The sequence below is a fragment of the Homo sapiens genome, chromosome 1 (assembly GCF_000001405.40).
Source record: "Homo sapiens chromosome 1, GRCh38.p14 Primary Assembly".
Lineage (NCBI taxonomy): Eukaryota > Metazoa > Chordata > Mammalia > Primates > Hominidae > Homo > Homo sapiens.
In genome coordinates, this window is record NC_000001.11 from 236,849,135 (window position 1) to 236,868,768 (window position 19,634).

General features: G+C 39.6%; 1 protein-coding gene across 13 annotated transcripts in view; it reads left to right on the forward strand.

The window, feature by feature from the left end:
- MTR (5-methyltetrahydrofolate-homocysteine methyltransferase) overlaps nucleotides 1–19,634 on the forward strand; it is a 108,701-nt gene that overhangs the window by 53,854 nt on the left and 35,213 nt on the right. For 8 of the 13 annotated variants that reach the window (XM_005273141.6, XM_047421185.1, XM_011544194.4 and 5 more), the window contains 7 exons: nucleotides 1,210–1,389; nucleotides 3,387–3,503; nucleotides 3,814–3,954; nucleotides 10,699–10,788; nucleotides 11,991–12,143; nucleotides 13,102–13,209; nucleotides 14,320–14,420. In XM_005273141.6, coding sequence (XP_005273198.1) covers nucleotides 1,210–1,389; nucleotides 3,387–3,503; nucleotides 3,814–3,954; nucleotides 10,699–10,788; nucleotides 11,991–12,143; nucleotides 13,102–13,209; nucleotides 14,320–14,420 — 890 coding nt within the window. The remainder of the gene's footprint in view (nucleotides 1–1,209; nucleotides 1,390–3,386; nucleotides 3,504–3,813; nucleotides 3,955–10,698; nucleotides 10,789–11,990; nucleotides 12,144–13,101; nucleotides 13,210–14,319; nucleotides 14,421–19,634) is intronic. The other 5 variants (NM_001291939.1, XM_047421186.1, XM_047421182.1 and 2 more) reach the window with 1 other exon arrangement.

Genomic DNA, 19,634 nt, shown 5'->3' on the forward strand with positions numbered 1-19,634 from the left:
TTGGTGAATACCCTGTGTTGAGGTTGTAAATTTGATCTGAAGACAGTTTCCATGACAAAGTTCAGAAATACTTTGAGTAAAAGCAGCATTCATACATAATGTTGAGCACCTACTTTGACAGGCACTGCTCAGGGCACTGGGGATAAAGCAAGACTGGCATTCTATCTAGGGGAGAGGAGTTTACCAATTAACAAGTAATAAAACAACGAAAAATACTAAAGATGTTGCCAAAATAATACAATTTCTGGAAAGAAATACTCCGAAGAAGAATGGAGGAGGTGGGGAAGGGTGGAAGTGGCTGGTTTAGAGAGGGTGATTTAAGGTAGGCTCTGAAAAGGGGGCACTTGGGCAGAAGCCTTAGTTCTGTGAAGCACAAAGCCATGTCATGGTATGTTCTGGTAGTGGCAGCAATAAATGAAAGTTGCTGAGGGAGGAACAAGCTTGACGGGTTTCAAAAACACCAAAGGAGCAATGTAGGAGGTGCGGAGTAGAGGAGAGGGCAAATGGTAGGAGATGAGATTGGAGATGGAGGCTGAGATTCTGAGGCTTTTGGGAAGCAGCTGGGGGATGAGCCTTGCCGGAGTTAGTGTTTTGCCTTTTAGGGACATTATTTTGAAGGTAAAGACTAATTTGTATTTATGACTTAAGACACATGTTAGGCCAGTGTTAAAATGGGTGAAGGTGAGGAATAAATGCATATCCTTGAATATGCTTAGAATGTTTTTGCAAGAAGATCTGAGAAAGCAATGGCAGTGTTTCCTGGGTGATAGGTTGTGACACTGCTGTCAGGTCAAGAGAGGAAGGGGCACTTACATGTTAATCTCTTCTTTAGTAGTATTTGATTTTTTATCATATGCATGTATTTTTAGAAGCTTTTTCATAATATACCATATGTGTGTATATGTTTAAGGTTTGATTTTTTGCAGAAAGAGTATAGCTGCTGTGTTTGTGAAAACACAAAGAGATCTTTAAACCAGTCTCTCCTCTGAGATAATTTGATAAGTGATCGGAAGCTGCTTGGCATTTAGATTTCTGTGAAATCCAAGCATTGACACTTGAGTGTTTTCAGTGAGTGAAATGTGCTCTAATGTATAACACTTAATATTTTAATATTAATATTTTATTAAAATAAAATAACAGGTATTTAATATTAATATTTTAATAGATAATTTTTCTATTTCAAACTACATCTTTTGCTCTTTTCCCTAGGCAACAGAAACAGACACAAAAATCAGAGTGTGCACCCGGGCCTACCATCTGCTTGTGAAAAAACTGGGCTTTAATCCAAATGACATTATTTTTGACCCTAATATCCTAACCATTGGGACTGGAATGGAGGAACACAACTTGTATGCCATTAATTTTATCCATGCAACAAAAGTCATTAAAGTAAGTGTAGGCATGTTCTCTCCCAAGTCATGGCTCAAATTTGTCCCATGGGTCTAATGAATGGTTAGAACTAACTTATATATTTATTGGCTGATGAAATGTTAACATTCTTAGTTAGTAAATTGTTTTTCTGAAATGTAGGAGACCTTATTTTTTTTCTTTAGTAGAGTTTTAACTTGTGTAACAAACAGACTGGAGAACATAACAGAGCCTGATGAACTCGCTTGAACCCAGGAGGGTGGAGGTTGCATTGAGCTGGGATCACGCCAGTGCGCTCTAGCCTGGGCGACAGAGTGAGGCCCTGCCTTGAACAAAATGATGCAAAACAAAAAAACCACAGAACCTGATAAATAATTAATTATGAAGCATATAAGAGCCTTCACTTAGGTCCCAAAATAGAGCATAGCTAGCGCCCCCGTCTGTCTCTCCTTTTCCAGTTACACCTCATTCTCAATTTTATAAAGTAGCTATTGTCCTGAGTTTTATGACGCTACTCTGTTGCTTTTCTTCATAAATTTATTGCTTATATATGTAGATTTGATTTGCATCATCTATGGATTTTATATTTGCAAATTCATGTACTTACTGAAATTTATTTGTGACCCCAAAATCAATACTCAACGTCACTTCTGCAGTTGTTCAGACTTACCCATATGCAGAGTGGTGGAAAATTTGAGTGGCCCAACCCATATTATTCCCAAAGAGGGCAAACATGGCAGTGACCTACCTTCTTATTTCAGCTCTCATCCTGTACACAGATGTCCTTTTTGCAGTCTAATGCCATGTTTTTCACACTTTTATGCGTTTTGTTGGTGAGGTCACTTTTTAAAATGGCCCCATACTAGTGCTGTCTAGTGTTCTAAGCACAAGAAGGCTGTGATGTTCCTTAGGGAGGAAATATGTGTGTTAGATAAGCTTTGTTCAGACATGAATTATAGTGCCATTGGCTGTGAATTCAGTCTTAATGAATCAACAGTAAATATTAGATACAGCATCTTAACATACATGCACAAAACAAGGTTATGTATTGATTGGTTGACAAAAATGTCATCAGAGGCTCATAGGAACCTAGCCCTGTATTTCTCCTAGGAGCAATGCTCTGGTATTCCCTAATTCAGTGTTTGCAGTGACTTTAAAGAACATAACTACCACAAAATAGTAAGAATTGACTGAATATCTGAATGATATAGTTTGGTTTTGCCTGCTTTTGAGCCTAATAAAAATAGAATCGTAATATTTTTATGTTTTTTTCTTACTCCATACTAAAGATTTATCTGTGTGGCTGTAGCTGTTTGTTCATTTTTATTAATGTATAATATTCTATGGTATAACTATACCACAATTAACTGTTCTATTGTTGATGGACATCTAGTTTTTTTCCAGCTTTTGGACATTATGAACAATGCAGCTCTGAGTATTCTTATATATGTATCTTAGACATGCATGCCTGAACTTCTCTGTAGCATAGACCCAGAAGTGGTTGGCTCATAGTAGTAGATAATGACAAACTGTCTCCCTAGATTCTTGAGCCAATAATAGTGAAAGTTCCTGTTATTCCACAAGCCTGATGATGCTTGATACTGTCATCGGTATGGTTGGAACTTCAATTTCCTTTTGTCCTTTTATAGTCGGTCAAGTTCATAGTGAACTAGGGAGTCTGTTCATTTAGGCTATGGAAGCCTTCTAGTAATTTGTACTTTCAGTGAATAAGGAATTCCTCTTTGTCTTTCTGCGTGTGTGTGTGTGTGTGTGTACGCGCGTGTTCTCCTTAGGGAGATTGGAGTCTAGTAGGAAAAACTACTTACGAAGCAGCGCCTTTGTAATACTGTAATACGGCAAGCTTTGGTCTATGTCTAGTAACAAGAAGCTCTGAATTACTTTGAACTTCGGATGCTTTTTGTTTTTTTTTCTTTCCACTCCTATATAAAGCTTAAGAGATGTGATTGCTGTTTTTGGCAAAAAAGGGGAATCTTTTCATATTTTAAAATTTTTGCCAGGAAACATTACCTGGAGCCAGAATAAGTGGAGGTCTTTCCAACTTGTCCTTCTCCTTCCGAGGAATGGAAGCCATTCGAGAAGCAATGCATGGGGTTTTCCTTTACCATGCAATCAAGGTATGGTAGAAGAACTCTTAGCCCTGCGGAAACCAGTTTTTAGTTGGGGCAGGGGTTTTCAAAGTGTGGCATGCAGGCTAAGTCCGGCCTGCTGCCAGTTTCTGTAAATAAGATTTTATTGGGATAGAGCCACACCTATTCATTTGTATCTTGTCTGTGGCTGCTTTTATGCTGTAACTACAAAGTTGAGTAGCTGTGACAGAGGCTATGGCCTAAAATATTTCTCTCTGGCCCTTTACAGAGAAAAGTTTGCTGATCGCTGACTTAAGGTATCACTGTAAATTCTCATTTTTATTTGTATTGCCCTTAGTCTGGCATGGACATGGGGATAGTGAATGCTGGAAACCTCCCTGTGTATGATGATATCCATAAGGAACTTCTGCAGCTCTGTGAAGATCTCATCTGGAATAAAGACCCTGAGGCCACTGAGAAGCTCTTACGTTATGCCCAGGTAGAGAGACAAGTGTTCTAATAGATGGATTTTTCCTATCTTTGAATGTATTACTCACCTACAGTTAGTAGACCTTCATGGTGGAATAGAAGCAAATATCGAATCATATATTTGGATCACTGAAGATTTCTACAGAGAGTTGCAGAGATGGTGGTGTAGCTAGGGCAAGGAAGGGTAAACAGACCATGCCTAGGGTGCTTCCGTATTCTGAACTTAGGTTTCTTTAAATTTATTGTAAAATGTAAAATTAATTTTTCTTGTACCAAGTAACATATTAGTTCTAGAAAATTTACAAAATTCTGGTAAGCAAAGGAAGAAAATAAAAATCACTTGTAATCCTACCACCCAAAGTTAAACACTTGAGATTTTGTTATAACCTTTAAGTGATGGGAGTTTTTATTTCTTTTTGCAAAATGAATATGCATGCATAGGTACATATACATACATTTTTTACAAAAATAGAACTATACTCTAGATGCTTTTATGGTAATATTTTTTTCTTAGCAGTGTACTGGGAACATATTTCCATTTTACTTGATATTTTTCTACCTCATTATTTAAAATAGCTGTTCTGGATTTTCTTGTGTGGCTATGTTAGTGTTACATGGTCCCCACTGTTCCATGTTTTGGTTTGTATACCTGTTTATGTTAGGATCTGGTCCATCTGTGGCAAAGTTCTGCAGTTCAAGGCTTAGGTCTGTGCACATTTGATGTGTAAAAAATGAGTATAATTATAGCTAATTCAAACACCAGCTTGTTTCTCATTTATATGTTGGGCGCAGTCCTAGGCACATGAAGTATCTATCGTAGATGGTTCTTCTTAGAATTCAGTTTAAGGAAAGTTGAGATCTTTACCTCAAAAGAACTTGCATTTTAATCTGTTTAAGAGAATGATGGCAAAGGAAGATATTTTTCCCACAAAGCATGTTGAGAAAGTGGTAGGATGCTTTTGTGTCTCTTGCCAACTTTGTTAATGTTTTCCATGTTAGAATCTGAATTTAGCTCTGATAGAACTGCCAACTTTGCCTCTTCCACAGAAGAGTAATAAAATGCTCTGGAAGAAGGATAGGACACTATGAGATTAACCACATCCTTGTTTTATCAGCCTTACTGGTAGTAAGACTTAGATTTCTGAAATTGCTTATGGAAGCCTTAGGCTCAACAAAGCTGAAAGGAGTTCAGACACTGTGCCAACGCTCACACGACCCTCCTCTCAGTTCCTTAAAAACATTTCCAGTTTCTCATGTGGACCCAGGACAGAATGTTTCATTTGGTTGTGGCAGATACAATCAAGTTCTACTTCTCAGCACATTACTTAAGAAACATTCCATAGATTTTTAATTTTTTTCCTATTGACCACATAGAGTGCTTAGCCCTGTCGTCTTCTTTGAACATTGAGACATGGGCGTTAAACACTATTCAGTTTTGAGTCATGGTCTATCTTCTACCTAGTAGGGGGTCCTTCATTAATAACTGTCAAAGAGTTCTGTTGAAGGCCAAAGGGGCATCATAGCCTCTATTGCCATGAAGTCATACTAGACAGTTCTTAATTAACACATGAAATGCTGTGTTTTTATCTTTTCCCTGATCTATCCAGAGGAGGCAGCCCTCTCACTTAGGAAAGGGGCTCCTTATTTGTAAGACCGTTCCCATTTAAGGTTTTTTTGGCATTGTATTTTGTGCTAGGCATTCTTTTGGTCTGTACTCACTTTTAGCGTTTGTTTACTAGCTTTCATTTCTGTATGTCATGCTGAGCTGCCAAGAGGTTTTGCCCCTGGAGGCACTGTCAAAGTGAGGGAAATCTTCATAGCAATTGCAGGAGTTTAACAATTCATCATAGAAGAATTTCCTCATTCTTAATGTAACCACGAGGGCTTCTTATAAGCCACTGACCTCTCTGTCAGGGAGACTGTCTGCCTTCAAGGTGACTTCCGTTGCCATTGAGGGAATTAATAACCAAAACAGGTATCCTCTAATAACTCTTGGGAGTCGCCAGCTCTGTAGCAATTCCTTAGGATGCGCTGAGTGAAATGGAGCATGAAGAGCAGGAATATTATGAGGCAAATAAGAGTCAAGGGATTTTTTATCTTTTATAAGAGAATGATCTCTTTCGGTTATTGCAAATGAAGAAGTCTGCACCCAGATTCCTGTCTGATATATTATTGAAACTAGTGGGAAGAGTATAGCCTCTGATCTTCCAAGGCTCTCTAATCTCACATTTGGGGAGGAATGGGATTTTTTTGAAAAACAATTTTCCTAATTTAGTTCAGACTGACCTGTGGTAAGTAAATTATTTTTGATAATAAAAATTTCCAGATACCATGTAATTTACATGGAGGATCTTTATTAAATGGTACCCTAATGGAGGCCAGGCCTCCTATGGAGTGGAAGGATTGGTGCTCTGGATAGGATGGCTGTGGAATGACCCGGGAGCTTGAGAATATTCTTGATACTTTCTGGGAAAGTTTTCTGTTCTTTGATTTGGCCTTGATCCCTTCCTTCACCATTTGAGCTCACATTCTTCCTTGGCTTTCTCTGCAGCAGTTTACTCCCTTTGATAACCTACACAACCGTGAGGCCCCTGTGAGGCAGAAGCAACTCTAGAGTGGGAAGAAGTAGTTTTTCTCATTAGCTTTGTACACGTACAGATACAAGGAGTAGCCAGATGGACATGACAATTGCTTGGTCAGTTTGCTTGGTAGCTTTCTATGTAAGCTTCCACAGTGTGCCTGGGTCTGGTCTTCCTTAGTATGTGAAAACTGTGTAGCACCTTGTTTGTGTATCATGGAGAACTCCCTATTGAATAACTACATGAATAGTGAGATGGGCCTCAGCATGCCATTGTGTATTTCTGAAATAACTGCTTTTAACTGTACTGTTTCATTTTAAGTATTGCTTTCATGAGTCAAATTCATCAGGTTTGGAACATAGCTATCAGGTGGGATAGTTTTTAGACATCACAACCTCCAACACTTCAGTGAATTCTTTACTGCTGTTTGTAGCCTCTTTTGCCTCTGTCCATAATCATATATTTTTTGCTCCCTTCCCACCCCATAAGTCTGGTACATTGTGGTATTTTTCTGTGAACACACCAGTTCCTTTTTTCAAGAGTGTTTGGAACACACCGCCCTGTTTTTACACAGCAAAACTCCATCCCCCAGGTAGGAGTTGTCTGATTGTGTGGCTAATAGAACAAATGGTATTTACAGGTATCAAGTGATGGGACTGTGAACATCAGAGGGACTTTTTCTTTTTTTTTACTATCTCGTTCAGGTTTTTCAACATATGAGAGTCCTTGTATTATTATTCCAGTTACCACTTTGGCCCTAAATCTTGGAGTTCTCCCCAATTCCTTCCTCCTCTCCTTCTTCTTTCTTCTTTCTTCTTTCTTTTTTTCTTTCTTCTTTCTTCTTGTTCTTCTTCTTTCTTTTTTTTTCTTCTTCTATTATTATTATTTTTATACTTTAAGTTCTGGGATACACATGCAGAATGTGCAGGTTTGTTACACAGGTATACACATGCTATGGTGGTTTGCTGCACCATCACCCCATCATCTATATTAGGTATTTCTCCTAATGCTATCCCTTCCCTAGCTTCCCAACCCCCCGACAGGCCCTGGTATGTGATGTTCCCCTCCCTGTGTCCATGTGTTCTCATTGTTCAACTCCCACTTATGAGTGAGAACATGCAGTGTTTCGTTTTCTGTTCCTGTGTTAGTTTGTTGAGTGTGATGGTTTCCAGCTTCATCCATGTCCCTGCAAAGGACATGAACTCATCCTTTTTTATGGCTTCATAGTATTCCATGGTGTATATGTGCCACATTTTCTTTATCCAGTCTATCATTGATGGGTATTTGGGTTGGTTTCAAGTCTTTGCTACTGTGAACAGTGCCGCAATAAACATACGTGTATGTATCTTTATAGTAGAATGATTTATAATCCTTTGGGTATATACCCAGTAATGGGGATTACTGGGTCAAATGGTATTTCTGGTTCTAGATCCTTGAGGAATCGCTGCACTGCCTTCCACAATGGTAGAACTAATTTACACTCCCATCAGCAGTGTAAAAGCATTCCTATTTCTCCACATCCTCTCCAGCATCTGTTGTTTCCTGACTTTTTATCGCCATTCTAACTGGCGTGATATGGTATCTCATTGTGCTTTTGATTTGCATTTCTCCCTCCTCTCCTTCTTAGTTATTGTCTATTAATACCTTTATATTTGTCCTTTCCTTTCCTCCTGTTACCACTACTGAGTCCAGGCCTCCATCAAGGACTATTAAAATATTCTCCCCATTTTGTGATTCCCTTAAAAATGTGACTTTGAATGTTAATCTGCAGCTTTAGAACTTTGAATAATGTCTCCCCCTTCTGCCCATGCAATTGCCTGGAAGGTCAAATTTAAACTCCACCGCATGGGTTTTTGGCCCTCTGTGTCTTGGCCTCTACCACCCTGGACAAACATTACTCCAGCAAAATCAGTCTTTGTGTAGCATTAATTCATCCAGCTAATATTTACTAAAATGTCGCTTTGTGCCATTCATTTGACTGAACTTAGAGGATCTAACTAGTAAGAGAGATGTACCCCTACCCTCTGAGAGCCTACAGCTCAGTGATACATGCAGAAATGTATAGAGGTGATTGTCACCCAGCGCAGCAAGTGCTGTGAGAGGGGAAGTGCAGGACGCTAGGAGAAGCCTGAGGGAGATTCTGACCCCAAACTAGAGATGGTCAGGGAAAGCTTCCCAGGGGAAGTGATAGGTCAGGTGAGACTTGAGAGAAATAAAGGAGGTGGCCAGGCCAAGGTTTGGGGGTAGAGTGCAGTGCTGGTGGTCCCTGCCAGGGGAGAGATATTTGCATGTAGCCAGAGTCTGGCATGGTCATAGGTACTGCATAAATGTATGTCAGATGAACAAATGCGAAGGCCTGGTGGTAAAGAGTTGATGGGGAGGGGAGCATAAGGAACAGAAGTGTTCTGGATGGCTGAAGCTTGTCGGGAATGGCAGAAGAGAAAGCCAGATCAGGTGTACTAGTCCATTCTCATGCTGCTGATAAAGACATACCCGAGACTGGGTAATTTATGAAGAAAAGGAGGTTTAATGGACTCACGGTTCCACGTGGCTGGGGAGGTCTCACAATCATAATGGAAGGTGAAAAGCACGTCTTACATGACAGCAGATAAGAGAGGGAACTTGTGCAGGGAAACCCCTTTATAAAACCATTAGATCTTGTGAGACTTACTCACTATCACAAGAACAGCACAGGAAAGACCCGTCTCCATGATTCAGTTACCTCCCACTGGGTCCCTCCCACGACGTGTGGGAATTGTGGGAGCTACAATTCAAGATGAGATTTGGGTGGGGTCACAGCCAAACCATCTCATCAGGGCATTGGATGGCATGGTAAGGAATCAGTACCATGTCGTGAAAGCAATAGGAAACTTACACAGAGATTTTTTTCACAGGGAGCAGTTGGATCAGATTTGCATTTTGGAAGCATCCTTTTGGCTACAGTGTGGAAGATGAATCAGAGACCAGAATGATTCTGGGCTGTGGAGACTACTTAGTTCTTGGGCTGTGAAAATGGAAGCAGGGTGGAGAGAAAAAGTTTTGAGGTGTAATCATTAGGATGAGGTGATTGATTGAATTTGAGTAGTGAATGGAGATTCAAAGGTGATACTTAGGTTTCCGGTTTGGCAGCTGGTACCTCCAGTTGAGGTGGAGAAAACAATAAAGTAATGCAATTTATCAGGTGTGCCATGATCATTGCGCTTTTGTTCCTTTGCTGAATCTGCCCCTTCTCATCATTCAGCTTCTTTGAAACTTTTCTTTGCCACCTTAGCTTACGATAACCATTCCTTCCTCAAAATTCCTATGTACTTAGTCTGTATTATGTACTCATTCAGCCCTTGACATATACTCCCTTTCTTTCTTTACATATTTTCTACCTCTCTTATGACATGGCTGTCTTACTCTGTTTTCTTTGGCTCTAACGGAATACCAAAGACTGGATAATTTATAAAGAAGTTTATTTAGCTCACAATTCTGGCAGCTGGAAAATCCAAGAGTATGGCCTTGGCCCCTGGTGAGGGCCTTCTTGCTGTGTCATAACATGGCAGAGGGCATCTCATGTCAAGAGGGCAAGAGCAAGAGAGCCAGAGAGATAGCAAACCTGCTTCCATGGTAGCAACATTAATCCAGCCGTCATAAATTCGTTAATCCATTCATGGGGGCAGAGGGATTAGGTTTCCAACACAACTTTTGGAGGACACCTTCAAACCATAACAATGGCAGAGTCCTTGAGAGCATAGTCTGTGTCGTACACCTCCTAGTGTGCCCACCTTTGATGTCTGACTTAGCTTCATTATGGCCTCCCTGCATCTGTTTTTGGGTACTGGTGATCCTTGTTGAGAGCTTTGAAGGCTCATTGGGTTTGGAGTATAGCTTCTCTTACTGTCCTGGAAATTTTGTGTTGAGTTGTTATTTTTAGAAAAGAGGGAAAGGAAAGAATGGAATTTTACTCTGTCTCTACACTAACAGTTCAAACCCTAAAAGATTTCTCATTTTTCCCTCTCCTTCCCTCAAACATTCATTGAGATCTTATTTTATGCTGGACAGTCTACTAGGGGCTGGAAAAGTAAAAGAAGAATAAGACACAGGTTTTTTTGTTTGTTTGTTTGTTTTGCCATCAAACAGTTTGGTTAGTGATGAGTTGTATCCATTTCTTGGTTTCAATTTCAATTCAGACTCAAGGCACAGGAGGGAAGAAAGTCATTCAGACTGATGAGTGGAGAAATGGCCCTGTCGAAGAACGCCTTGAGTATGCCCTTGTGAAGGTAAGTTACAGGGGCCTGAACTGGAGGGCTGGAGGCTCATCATGGCTGACTGATCCTGTTGTGGGCGGTGTGACAGTAGCTGGAGAAGGAGATGCCTAGACCACTGATTCTCAACCTGGGGAGGTCCCTCTTGCTGTCCCCCAGCTGCCCCCCCCCCCCCCCCCCCCCACCATAGCACATTTGACAGTGTTCAGAGACATTTTTGATTGTCGTAACTGTGCCTGGGAGGTATTACTGGCATCCTATGGCCAGGGGTGCTGCTAAACATCCTGCAGTGCCCAGGACAGCCCCAAACCACAAAGAATATTCCTTCCCAAGTGTTAGTAGCGCCGAGGCTGCGAATCCTGTCCTGGACCAAGTTGCTGGTCAGTTGGTCAGCAAGTCAGTTTCATAGTTGGAATTTTAGGCTTTAAGCAAGATCAGTAATCTCTTGGCTTCAGTTTCCTCATGTGTGAGTCTGGAGAATCTCAGAGTTTTGTTTTGTTTTGTTTTTTTTTGGCTCTGGAGTTTAACATTTAACTCTTTCACCTTTTGAGATTCACATATTTCAGTTTGTGGAGCTAGTTGGCCAATCCAAGGATCATTGAACTGGGGACCTTGGAGGAGTGGGGCTTGTCATTGAAGGGCGGATAAGTCAATGGAGGCTTCATGGATTTGAACTTCATTTAAGGGCCTCATCCAGTGTCATTTCTCCCCAGCCCTACAGCATTACAGTGAGAAAACTTACTGATTTCTCCACAGGCATTTATTAATGTATAATCTGGTAAAACACGAAGATACAAAATGGATTTTATGCATTTGAACTTATTAGTCCTTCTCTGTTAGCACATTTTACTGAGGTATATTTTAAAGCATTTTTTAATTGGCATATAAAATTGTATGTATTTACTGCATACAACATTCTGTTTTGGAAGTGTATGAGGTATTTACTTTGTTTGTATCAATAAAGCCAGCTAAGCACTTTATCTCAATCCTCAAAATAAACATATGAGATACTATTGTAATATTCTAATTGAGGAAACTGAGGCTTATTGAATTGCCTAAATTAGTGATAGGAAGCCAGATTGAGTCCATGCACTCTGCTTCTGGAACCTGTGCTGTTAGGCATTTTCATGATGGCTCTGTGGAGGTAAGGCAGTTTTTTAGGTGATTTTTTTTTTCTTTCTTTCTTTTTCTTTTTTTTTTTTTTTTGTCTTTTTTAGGGCATTGAAAAACATATTATTGAGGATACTGAGGAAGCCAGGTTAAACCAAAAAAAATATCCCCGACCTCTCAATATAATTGAAGGACCCCTGATGAATGGAATGAAAATTGTTGGTGATCTTTTTGGAGCTGGAAAAATGTTTCTACCTCAGGTTAGCAAAATATGGGGAGAAATTTTCACAGTTGCATCTTTTCTTTGTCATTTAATAAATGGCGATTTGGGATATATTTCTCAGGTTTTAATTTGGACAAGAGTTCAATGGTATTGGCTAGTCATTCCTTCTCTAAATATGTTTAGGAGTCATGTCTGCAAGAATCCGTCTTCAGAGTGGTGTGGATGTTGGAAATCCGAAAATTCTTAGCATCATAATCTATCATAATCCTTATGTTCTAATTTTTGTATCACCTCTTACCCCCAGTGCCTATCTCTCCCCTCCAAAAGTAAAGTAAAACCCAAGATAAATGTAGAGTTACTAACATTAAGACTTGATTTGACCAGGCACTGTTCATCTGTAAGGATGCATATTTTGAGACAAATGTTACTGTTTTAAATGACGGTACATTAAGTGGTTTGTTTAAAGTAAAACCAGAACTCTTACTTTGATTTACAGCAGCTGCTAACCACATCAGTTAACACATACTTGTTGAGCATGTAGGTTAGTGGCTGTGCGGCATTTGAGAAACTAAAAGGCCTTCATCTTGCCTTAATGTAAGACTGGATTTTAAGTGAGTTTTAAAGCTGGGGATTGAGAAGAGAAGGCTGGGAATGAGCTCATGGTGGAGAAGCTTTGGTCCTGAAGGATACATAGAACTCTTGGATAAAAGATAGAGGGCCTCCTAGACAGAGGAAAAAAAAACAAGCCAAAGTTCAGAAGACAGAAATTGCAACATTTGATTTCCAGCCTTGTTTTCCTTCTGCTGTACCTTATTATTCACTGGCTTTCCCTCTGGGGAGCTTATCCTTTGTTCTGCCTACTGTCAAAAGACTCCAGTGTAGCTGTCCTGAAGTCAAAGCATGCATTCCTAATGTGTGCCCAAATTTCACAAGTGGCCATCAGCAGTTGTTCCTGTGGTTTGGGAAAGATACCTGATCTATGCTTTTTTTCTCAGGTTATAAAGTCAGCCCGGGTTATGAAGAAGGCTGTTGGCCACCTTATCCCTTTCATGGAAAAAGAAAGAGAAGAAACCAGAGTGCTTAACGGCACAGTAGAAGAAGAGGCAAGTCATTTTGTTCAGGCCTATGGGCCTTTAGTGGGTTGACCTGGAAGACTTGAGGTGGTGGTAGGGGCCTAAGCAGTCAGGGTTGGCTGTGTTCGTTATTGAGGATAAAATAGAGAAATGATCCCACATCTCTCCCTTTTTTAACCGAGTATCAGAATACTCTGGGACTTTCTTTTGAATGTAGCTTTATAACATTTTTAATATAGATACAATTTTTCAATCAAAACCCATGTTTTCAAGACAAAGCCAGTTCATTCATTTGTGCCTTCATTACCTGATCATTTACGAAGCTGCTGTGATGTGCCAAGTACTGTGCCAGGCACTGCTCACTCAAAGGTCTGTCCCCGCCCTTGAGGTCATTGAGTCATGCTTGTTTTTAGAAAACTCTTAACTGAATAGTCTTTCTGCTGGTGATGTCCTTGGCACCACTTCTGGATTCAATTTAATTCTTGTTGGCTGCACCACCAGAGTAAATCATTAAGCTTTTTGACCTTGTTTAGCTCCCTGTGAAGCTCAGACAGCTTTGGCCCCTAGGATTCTGAATTTTTAAATTGATCTGTTTGTGAATGGCTCAGACAAACACAGAGTTTATAAAAATCCTTCTTGTTTTGCTTTTTTTCTTTTTTTGGGGCAGTAGTGGGGGATGCTAACTGTGCATAGAACAACAGTGCTGAGGAAAGATACTCACGTGCCCTCTGTCTGGGCTGTTGTGGTTTTTCAGATTCAGATGGGACATACACATACAGTTAACCTGTTCCTTCCCCTCTCCCCTGCCTCTCCCTTAATGGCTAACCGTAAACATTTGTCAAATAAGTTCCCCCGCACCCAGAGTTAAGGATGTGGTCTTCAGCTGTGGTGCTGTTTTGTGTGTGAACATCAACTATTCTTTGAAAGGATGGGACCTCCTGATCTTGGCTGAAGCCCCTTGGGCTAGCCCATTAGGTGGGCCTCCTTTGAACTGTTTGGGCTTCGGTTTCCAGGTCTGTCTTTGAGGTGCTCTTGGTTGTATTGAATTGCTTTCTGTGCTGGCCCCTGCCTGGCTCTGGAGAACTAGGTGTTCCACCCTAAACAACCCTGCCTTGCTGAGCTGCTTGGCTTCCTTTCCAGGACCCTTACCAGGGCACCATCGTGCTGGCCACTGTTAAAGGCGACGTGCACGACATAGGCAAGAACATAGTTGGAGTAGTCCTTGGCTGCAATAATTTCCGGTAAGTTAGGACCTCACCTCTTTCAACCCCTTTTCCATTTAAAAATGAAAGCCTTTTAACAGAATAATTCTTCAATGGGTGGGAAGAGTAGGGCATGGCAGTGGATGTTAGAGGTTATTTTTTATTTCTTTTTGCTTGCTGTGTTTTTGAATTTTCTACGTGAACACAGCATTTCAAATGAAATAAGTTAGTAATTATCCGTGTTCAAAAAGGACATAAAGAATAGTAAAAGCTATTCAAGTGGGGTGGAAACCGTCCAGAGGATTCCTGGGGTTGGATGTTGGGACAGAGGTGCTAATAGCCGGAATATCAGGCTCCTTCCCATGGCCAGTGGTGTTCATCATATCCTCTTTTTCCTTTCAATAAACTTAGATTTTAGAACCGAGATCTTATGAGACCTTGGCTAAACAGTTTTACAGGAAGGCCTTCTCTGTACAAGTCTCAGTTGGCTTTGCTTAGAGCCAGGACCCTGTGTTCTTGGTGATTAAGCTAGATTTTGGAATGTTGTATACAAGTAAAACCCCTTTCTATCTTATTATAATTAATAAATATTCATAACAAAATCATTTGCATGTGAGAGCTGATGACCTGTAGTAAGTATGTGTTTCGCTTAGATTTGAACATATTCTTTGTAATGAAAAGCCTGATGGAAATAATGCTTTCCCATATCCATGTCCAGCCAACAGTCCTTTTGAGTCATAGACTTCTTTCCAATGTGCCATTTTCTCTAGATAGAGAAGAAAATTGACTGGAGCTATCCCTGTACTCCTCAGTTCTCTTCTTTGCTGTCAAGTAACAATTACCTGCTAAGCTGTGTCCCTGCTGTCAACATTTTTATCCATCTCTGCCTTCAAGGCTCATTAAATGCGGCTAAGAACCTTTCAGGAAGGCTGGAGACAGAGAAGCAGTGTCAGGAAGGCATTTTTTTTTCCCTCTGACTGTCTTCACAAGCATTTCTATTTACCTGCTCACTTACTGTCTAAAGACTTAGCGTTCTCTCCTAGTCCTAGAAACGAGGAATACTATTTCTATCCATGTACTTACTATTTTTTAAAGAGATAAATTTATTGAAGATAGATAGTTGTAATGAAATTTTACCTATATAATAAATATTTGGATAAGGTGTTCGCTTCCTAAAGTCTACAAAGCATTTCTGCTATAGGCTTACCTTTGCAAACCTGAGGTTGTTGGTTCCTGTTTGCATTCATCACAGTCAGTTAAAATTCACTTCAGTTAATGTTTATAGATCATCTTCTACTTACCAGGCATTATACTAGAGACACCAAAATGATTTAGTTGACTTTTCTCCTTGAAAAAGTTTACTGTTTCTCAGGCTAAATAGCCAGGTACATGTTCAGCCTTAATGGGACAAGAACCATTGAAGAAAGTGACTTGTAGGTAAACTTCCTAAAAGTGATTCTTGAGGTATCATTGTCATGTGCTTTATCATCATTTATTTTGATCAGTGGATTCTTAGCTGAGAGTATTATACTAGCAATGTTTATTTCTCCAGTAAAGACATTTTAAGAAGCCAGGGAACATTGTGGCATTTCTCCAGGGTGCTACTGGAACTGAATGTCAGCAGTTGTGAAGACTGCGTATTAAGCCTGAGGCTTTCCTGCAACAAACCCAGTTGCTATGTGTTGGGCACTGAGGGTTTGCGTATCTTTGCTAATAAGTCTAACTGGAGAAACACTTTCTGATGAAACGTTACTTTCATTTTACAAAAACAAGTGAATGTGCAAACTTCATGTCAAACACTCCTTTGGCTTGTGTGTGATAACACATAGACTCTTCCATTGGTGAGTTTAATTTTATGGTGTCAGCTAGTAGACAAGTGTCCCTGGAGATTGTCTTATGGAATAATGTGTACTTTTACTGTCAGTACCAGGCTAGTATGCTTGAAGGAATTACCTAGCCTAGTGAGTGAGTCTAGCAACCTATCCTGTATCTAATCCTTTTCTTTCCTGGCTTTTTATCATTGTTGCAGTGAATCTCAAAAATGATAACAATGTTTTTTCTTTGTGGGGATAAAAGAAATAAAGAGGGCTAAAACTGACAGTTCTGTTTAGAGAGAAAATGTATTTTTTAAATGGGGAAGATATGATGCAATAGAATTGCAAATTTGAGGATTTGAATAGAACTAAGGATGTATTCACCAAGAATCTAGTATTACCTACCATTTGTTTACCACTTCCCAATTTATACAGTTCTTTAGTATCACTGATTTTTTTTTCTTTGTCACCTTTTTGTTGTTGTCATTTTGGTTCCTTTCCTTTCTTTTCTTTCATCCTTCCTTTTCATGGTTTTGATCCTACTACCCTGCCTGTTATTGTATTTCTCCTTTTATAGATGAGAAAACTTAGGCTTAGAGAACTTGAGAGATTTCATCATAGTCACATGGCTAGCAAGTGTCATGGGCAAGCACATTCAGGGCTTTTGGTTCTAAAAGCTGGGACTTCGTAATATGTCACCTTACTTTACAATATTTTTTTTGACTTGAGTTGTAAACAAGTATAATGTCTAATATTGACACAGGCATACCTTGTTTTATTGTACCTCACTTTATTGAGCTTTGCAGATACAGCATTTTGTAAAAATTTGAGTTTTGTGGCAATCCTGCATAGAACATGTGTCTTGATGGCATTTTTCCAATAGCATGTGCTCATTTCACGTCTCTGTGTCACATTTTCCTAATTCTCACAATATTTCAAACCTTATTATTGTATCTGTTATGATGATCTGTGATCAGTGATCAGTGTTACTATTTTAATTGTTTTGGGGTACCATGAACCACACCCATAGAAGATGGCAAACTTAATCCATAAATATATATATTTTGACTGTTCCACTAACCAGCCATTCCCCATCTCTCTCCCTTTCCTCGGGCCTCCATAGTCCCTGAGACACAACAATATTGAAATTAGGCCAGTTAATAACTCTGTAATGGCCTTGTAATCCTCTAAGTGTTTAAGTGAAAAGAAGAGTCACACACCTCGACATTAAGTCAAAAGTTAGACATGATTAAGTTTAGTGAGGAAGGCATGTCAAAAACTGAAATAGGCTGAAAACTAGGCTTCTTGCACCAAATAGCACAGTTTATGCAAAAGAAAAGTTCTTAAAGGAAATCTAAAATGCTCCTCCAGTGAATACACAAAGGATAGGAAAGCAAAACAGCCCCACTGCTGTTATGAGGAAAGTTTGAGTGGTCTGGATAGAAGATTAAACCAGCCACAATATTCCCTTAAGCCAGAGTCTCACCCAGAGCAGTTTGGCATTGCTGGAGCAATAACAAATTGAAGAGAGCTCCAACCGTCTTCAATTTTGTGAAGGCTGAGAGAGGTGAAGAAGCTGCAGAAGAAAAGTTTGAAGCTAACAGAGGTTGGTTCATGAGGTTTAAGGAAAGAAGCTGTCTCCTAACATAATGGTACAAGGTGAAGTGCAGGTGCTGATGGAGAAGCTGCAGCAAGTTTTCCAGATCTAGCTGACATCACTGAGGAAGGTGGCTATGCTAACCAATAGGTTTTCAATGTAGATGAAATAGCTTTCTGTTGGAAGTAGGTGCCATGCAGGACTTTCATAGCTAGAGGGGAGAAGTGAATGCCTGGCTTCAAAACTTGAAAGGACAGGCTGACTCTCTTGTGGAGGGGCTGATGACTGTCAGTTGAAGCCAGTGCGCATTTGCCATTCTGAAAATTCTAGGGCTTTAAGAATTATGTTAAATCTACTCTGTCTGTGCTCTATAAATGGAATGACAAAGCCTGGATGAGAGCACATCTGTTTACAGCATGGGTTTACTGAATATTTTAAGCCTACCATTAAGACCTACTGCTCAGTAAAAAAGATTCCTTTCAAAATATTACTCCTCATTGACAGTGCACCTGGTCACAAGAATTCTGATAGAGATATACAAGGAGATGAATATTGTTTTCATGCCTGCTAACACAACATCCATTCTGCAGCCTGTGAATCAAGGAGGAATTTTGACTTTCAAGTCTTACATTTTGTAAGGCTGTAGCTGCCATAGATAGTGATGGATCTGGGCAAAGGAAATCAAAAAACCTTCTGTAAAGGATTCACCATTCTAGATGCCATTAAGAACATTTGTAATTCATGGGAGGAGGTCAAAATATCAACATTAACAGGAGCTTGGAAGAAGTTGATTCCAACTCTCATAGATGACTTTGAGGGATTCAAGACTTCAGTGGAGGAAGTAACTGCCGATGTGGTAGAAATAGCAAGAGTAAACCAGAATTAAAAGTGGAGCCTGAAGATGGGAATGAATTGCTACAATCTCGTAATACAACTTCAACAGATGAGGAATTGCTTCTTACGGCTGAGCAAGGCTGAGCAAAGAAAGTAGTTTCTTGAGATGGCTATGAACAGTGTTGAAATAACAACAGAGGATTTAGAATAAACAGCACGTAAACTTAGGTGATAAAGCAGGGGCAAGGTTTGAGATGATTGGCCTACAATTTTGAAAGAAGTTCTGTGAGTAAAACGCTATCAAACAGCATCACATGCTGCAGAGAAATCTTTTGTGAAAGTTAGATTCAATTGGTGTGGGAAACTTCACTGTCGTCTTATTTTGAGAAATTGCCACGGCCACCCCAAACTTCTGCAGCCACCACTCTAATCAGTCAGCAGCCATGAACATCAAGTCAAGACCCTCTACCAGCAAAAAGGTTACAACTCACTGAAGACCCAGATGATCATTAGCATTTTTTTTTTAGCAACAAGTATTTTTAAATTAAGGTATGTATACCTTGTTCTTTTAGACATAATACTATTGCACACATAATAGAGTACAGTATAGTGTGAACATAACTTTTATATGCATTGAGAAACCAAAAAATTCACATGACTCACTTTATTGAGATACTTTATTGTAATGGTCTAGAGTTGAACCTATAGCATCTCTGAGTTATGTCTGTATTCTAAATTCCCCTCAAGAAATAATGTAGAATATTTGGAAATATTTTTGATTAATTCCATTGAGGTTAATTTTACATATACTCTGTAATAGTAACTAGGAAAAGACAAAAGAGGACATTTTCCATTACAGATAATGCACAGTGTTTAATTATGTAAGAAAAATACGCTATTTCATGATACATTTTAAAGTTATACATCATACATCTAATGTTTTTAAACATGGGTCTGATAACCAGTGGTTCTTAATATAACTGTCTAGTATACGTAAAAGAGCAGTAT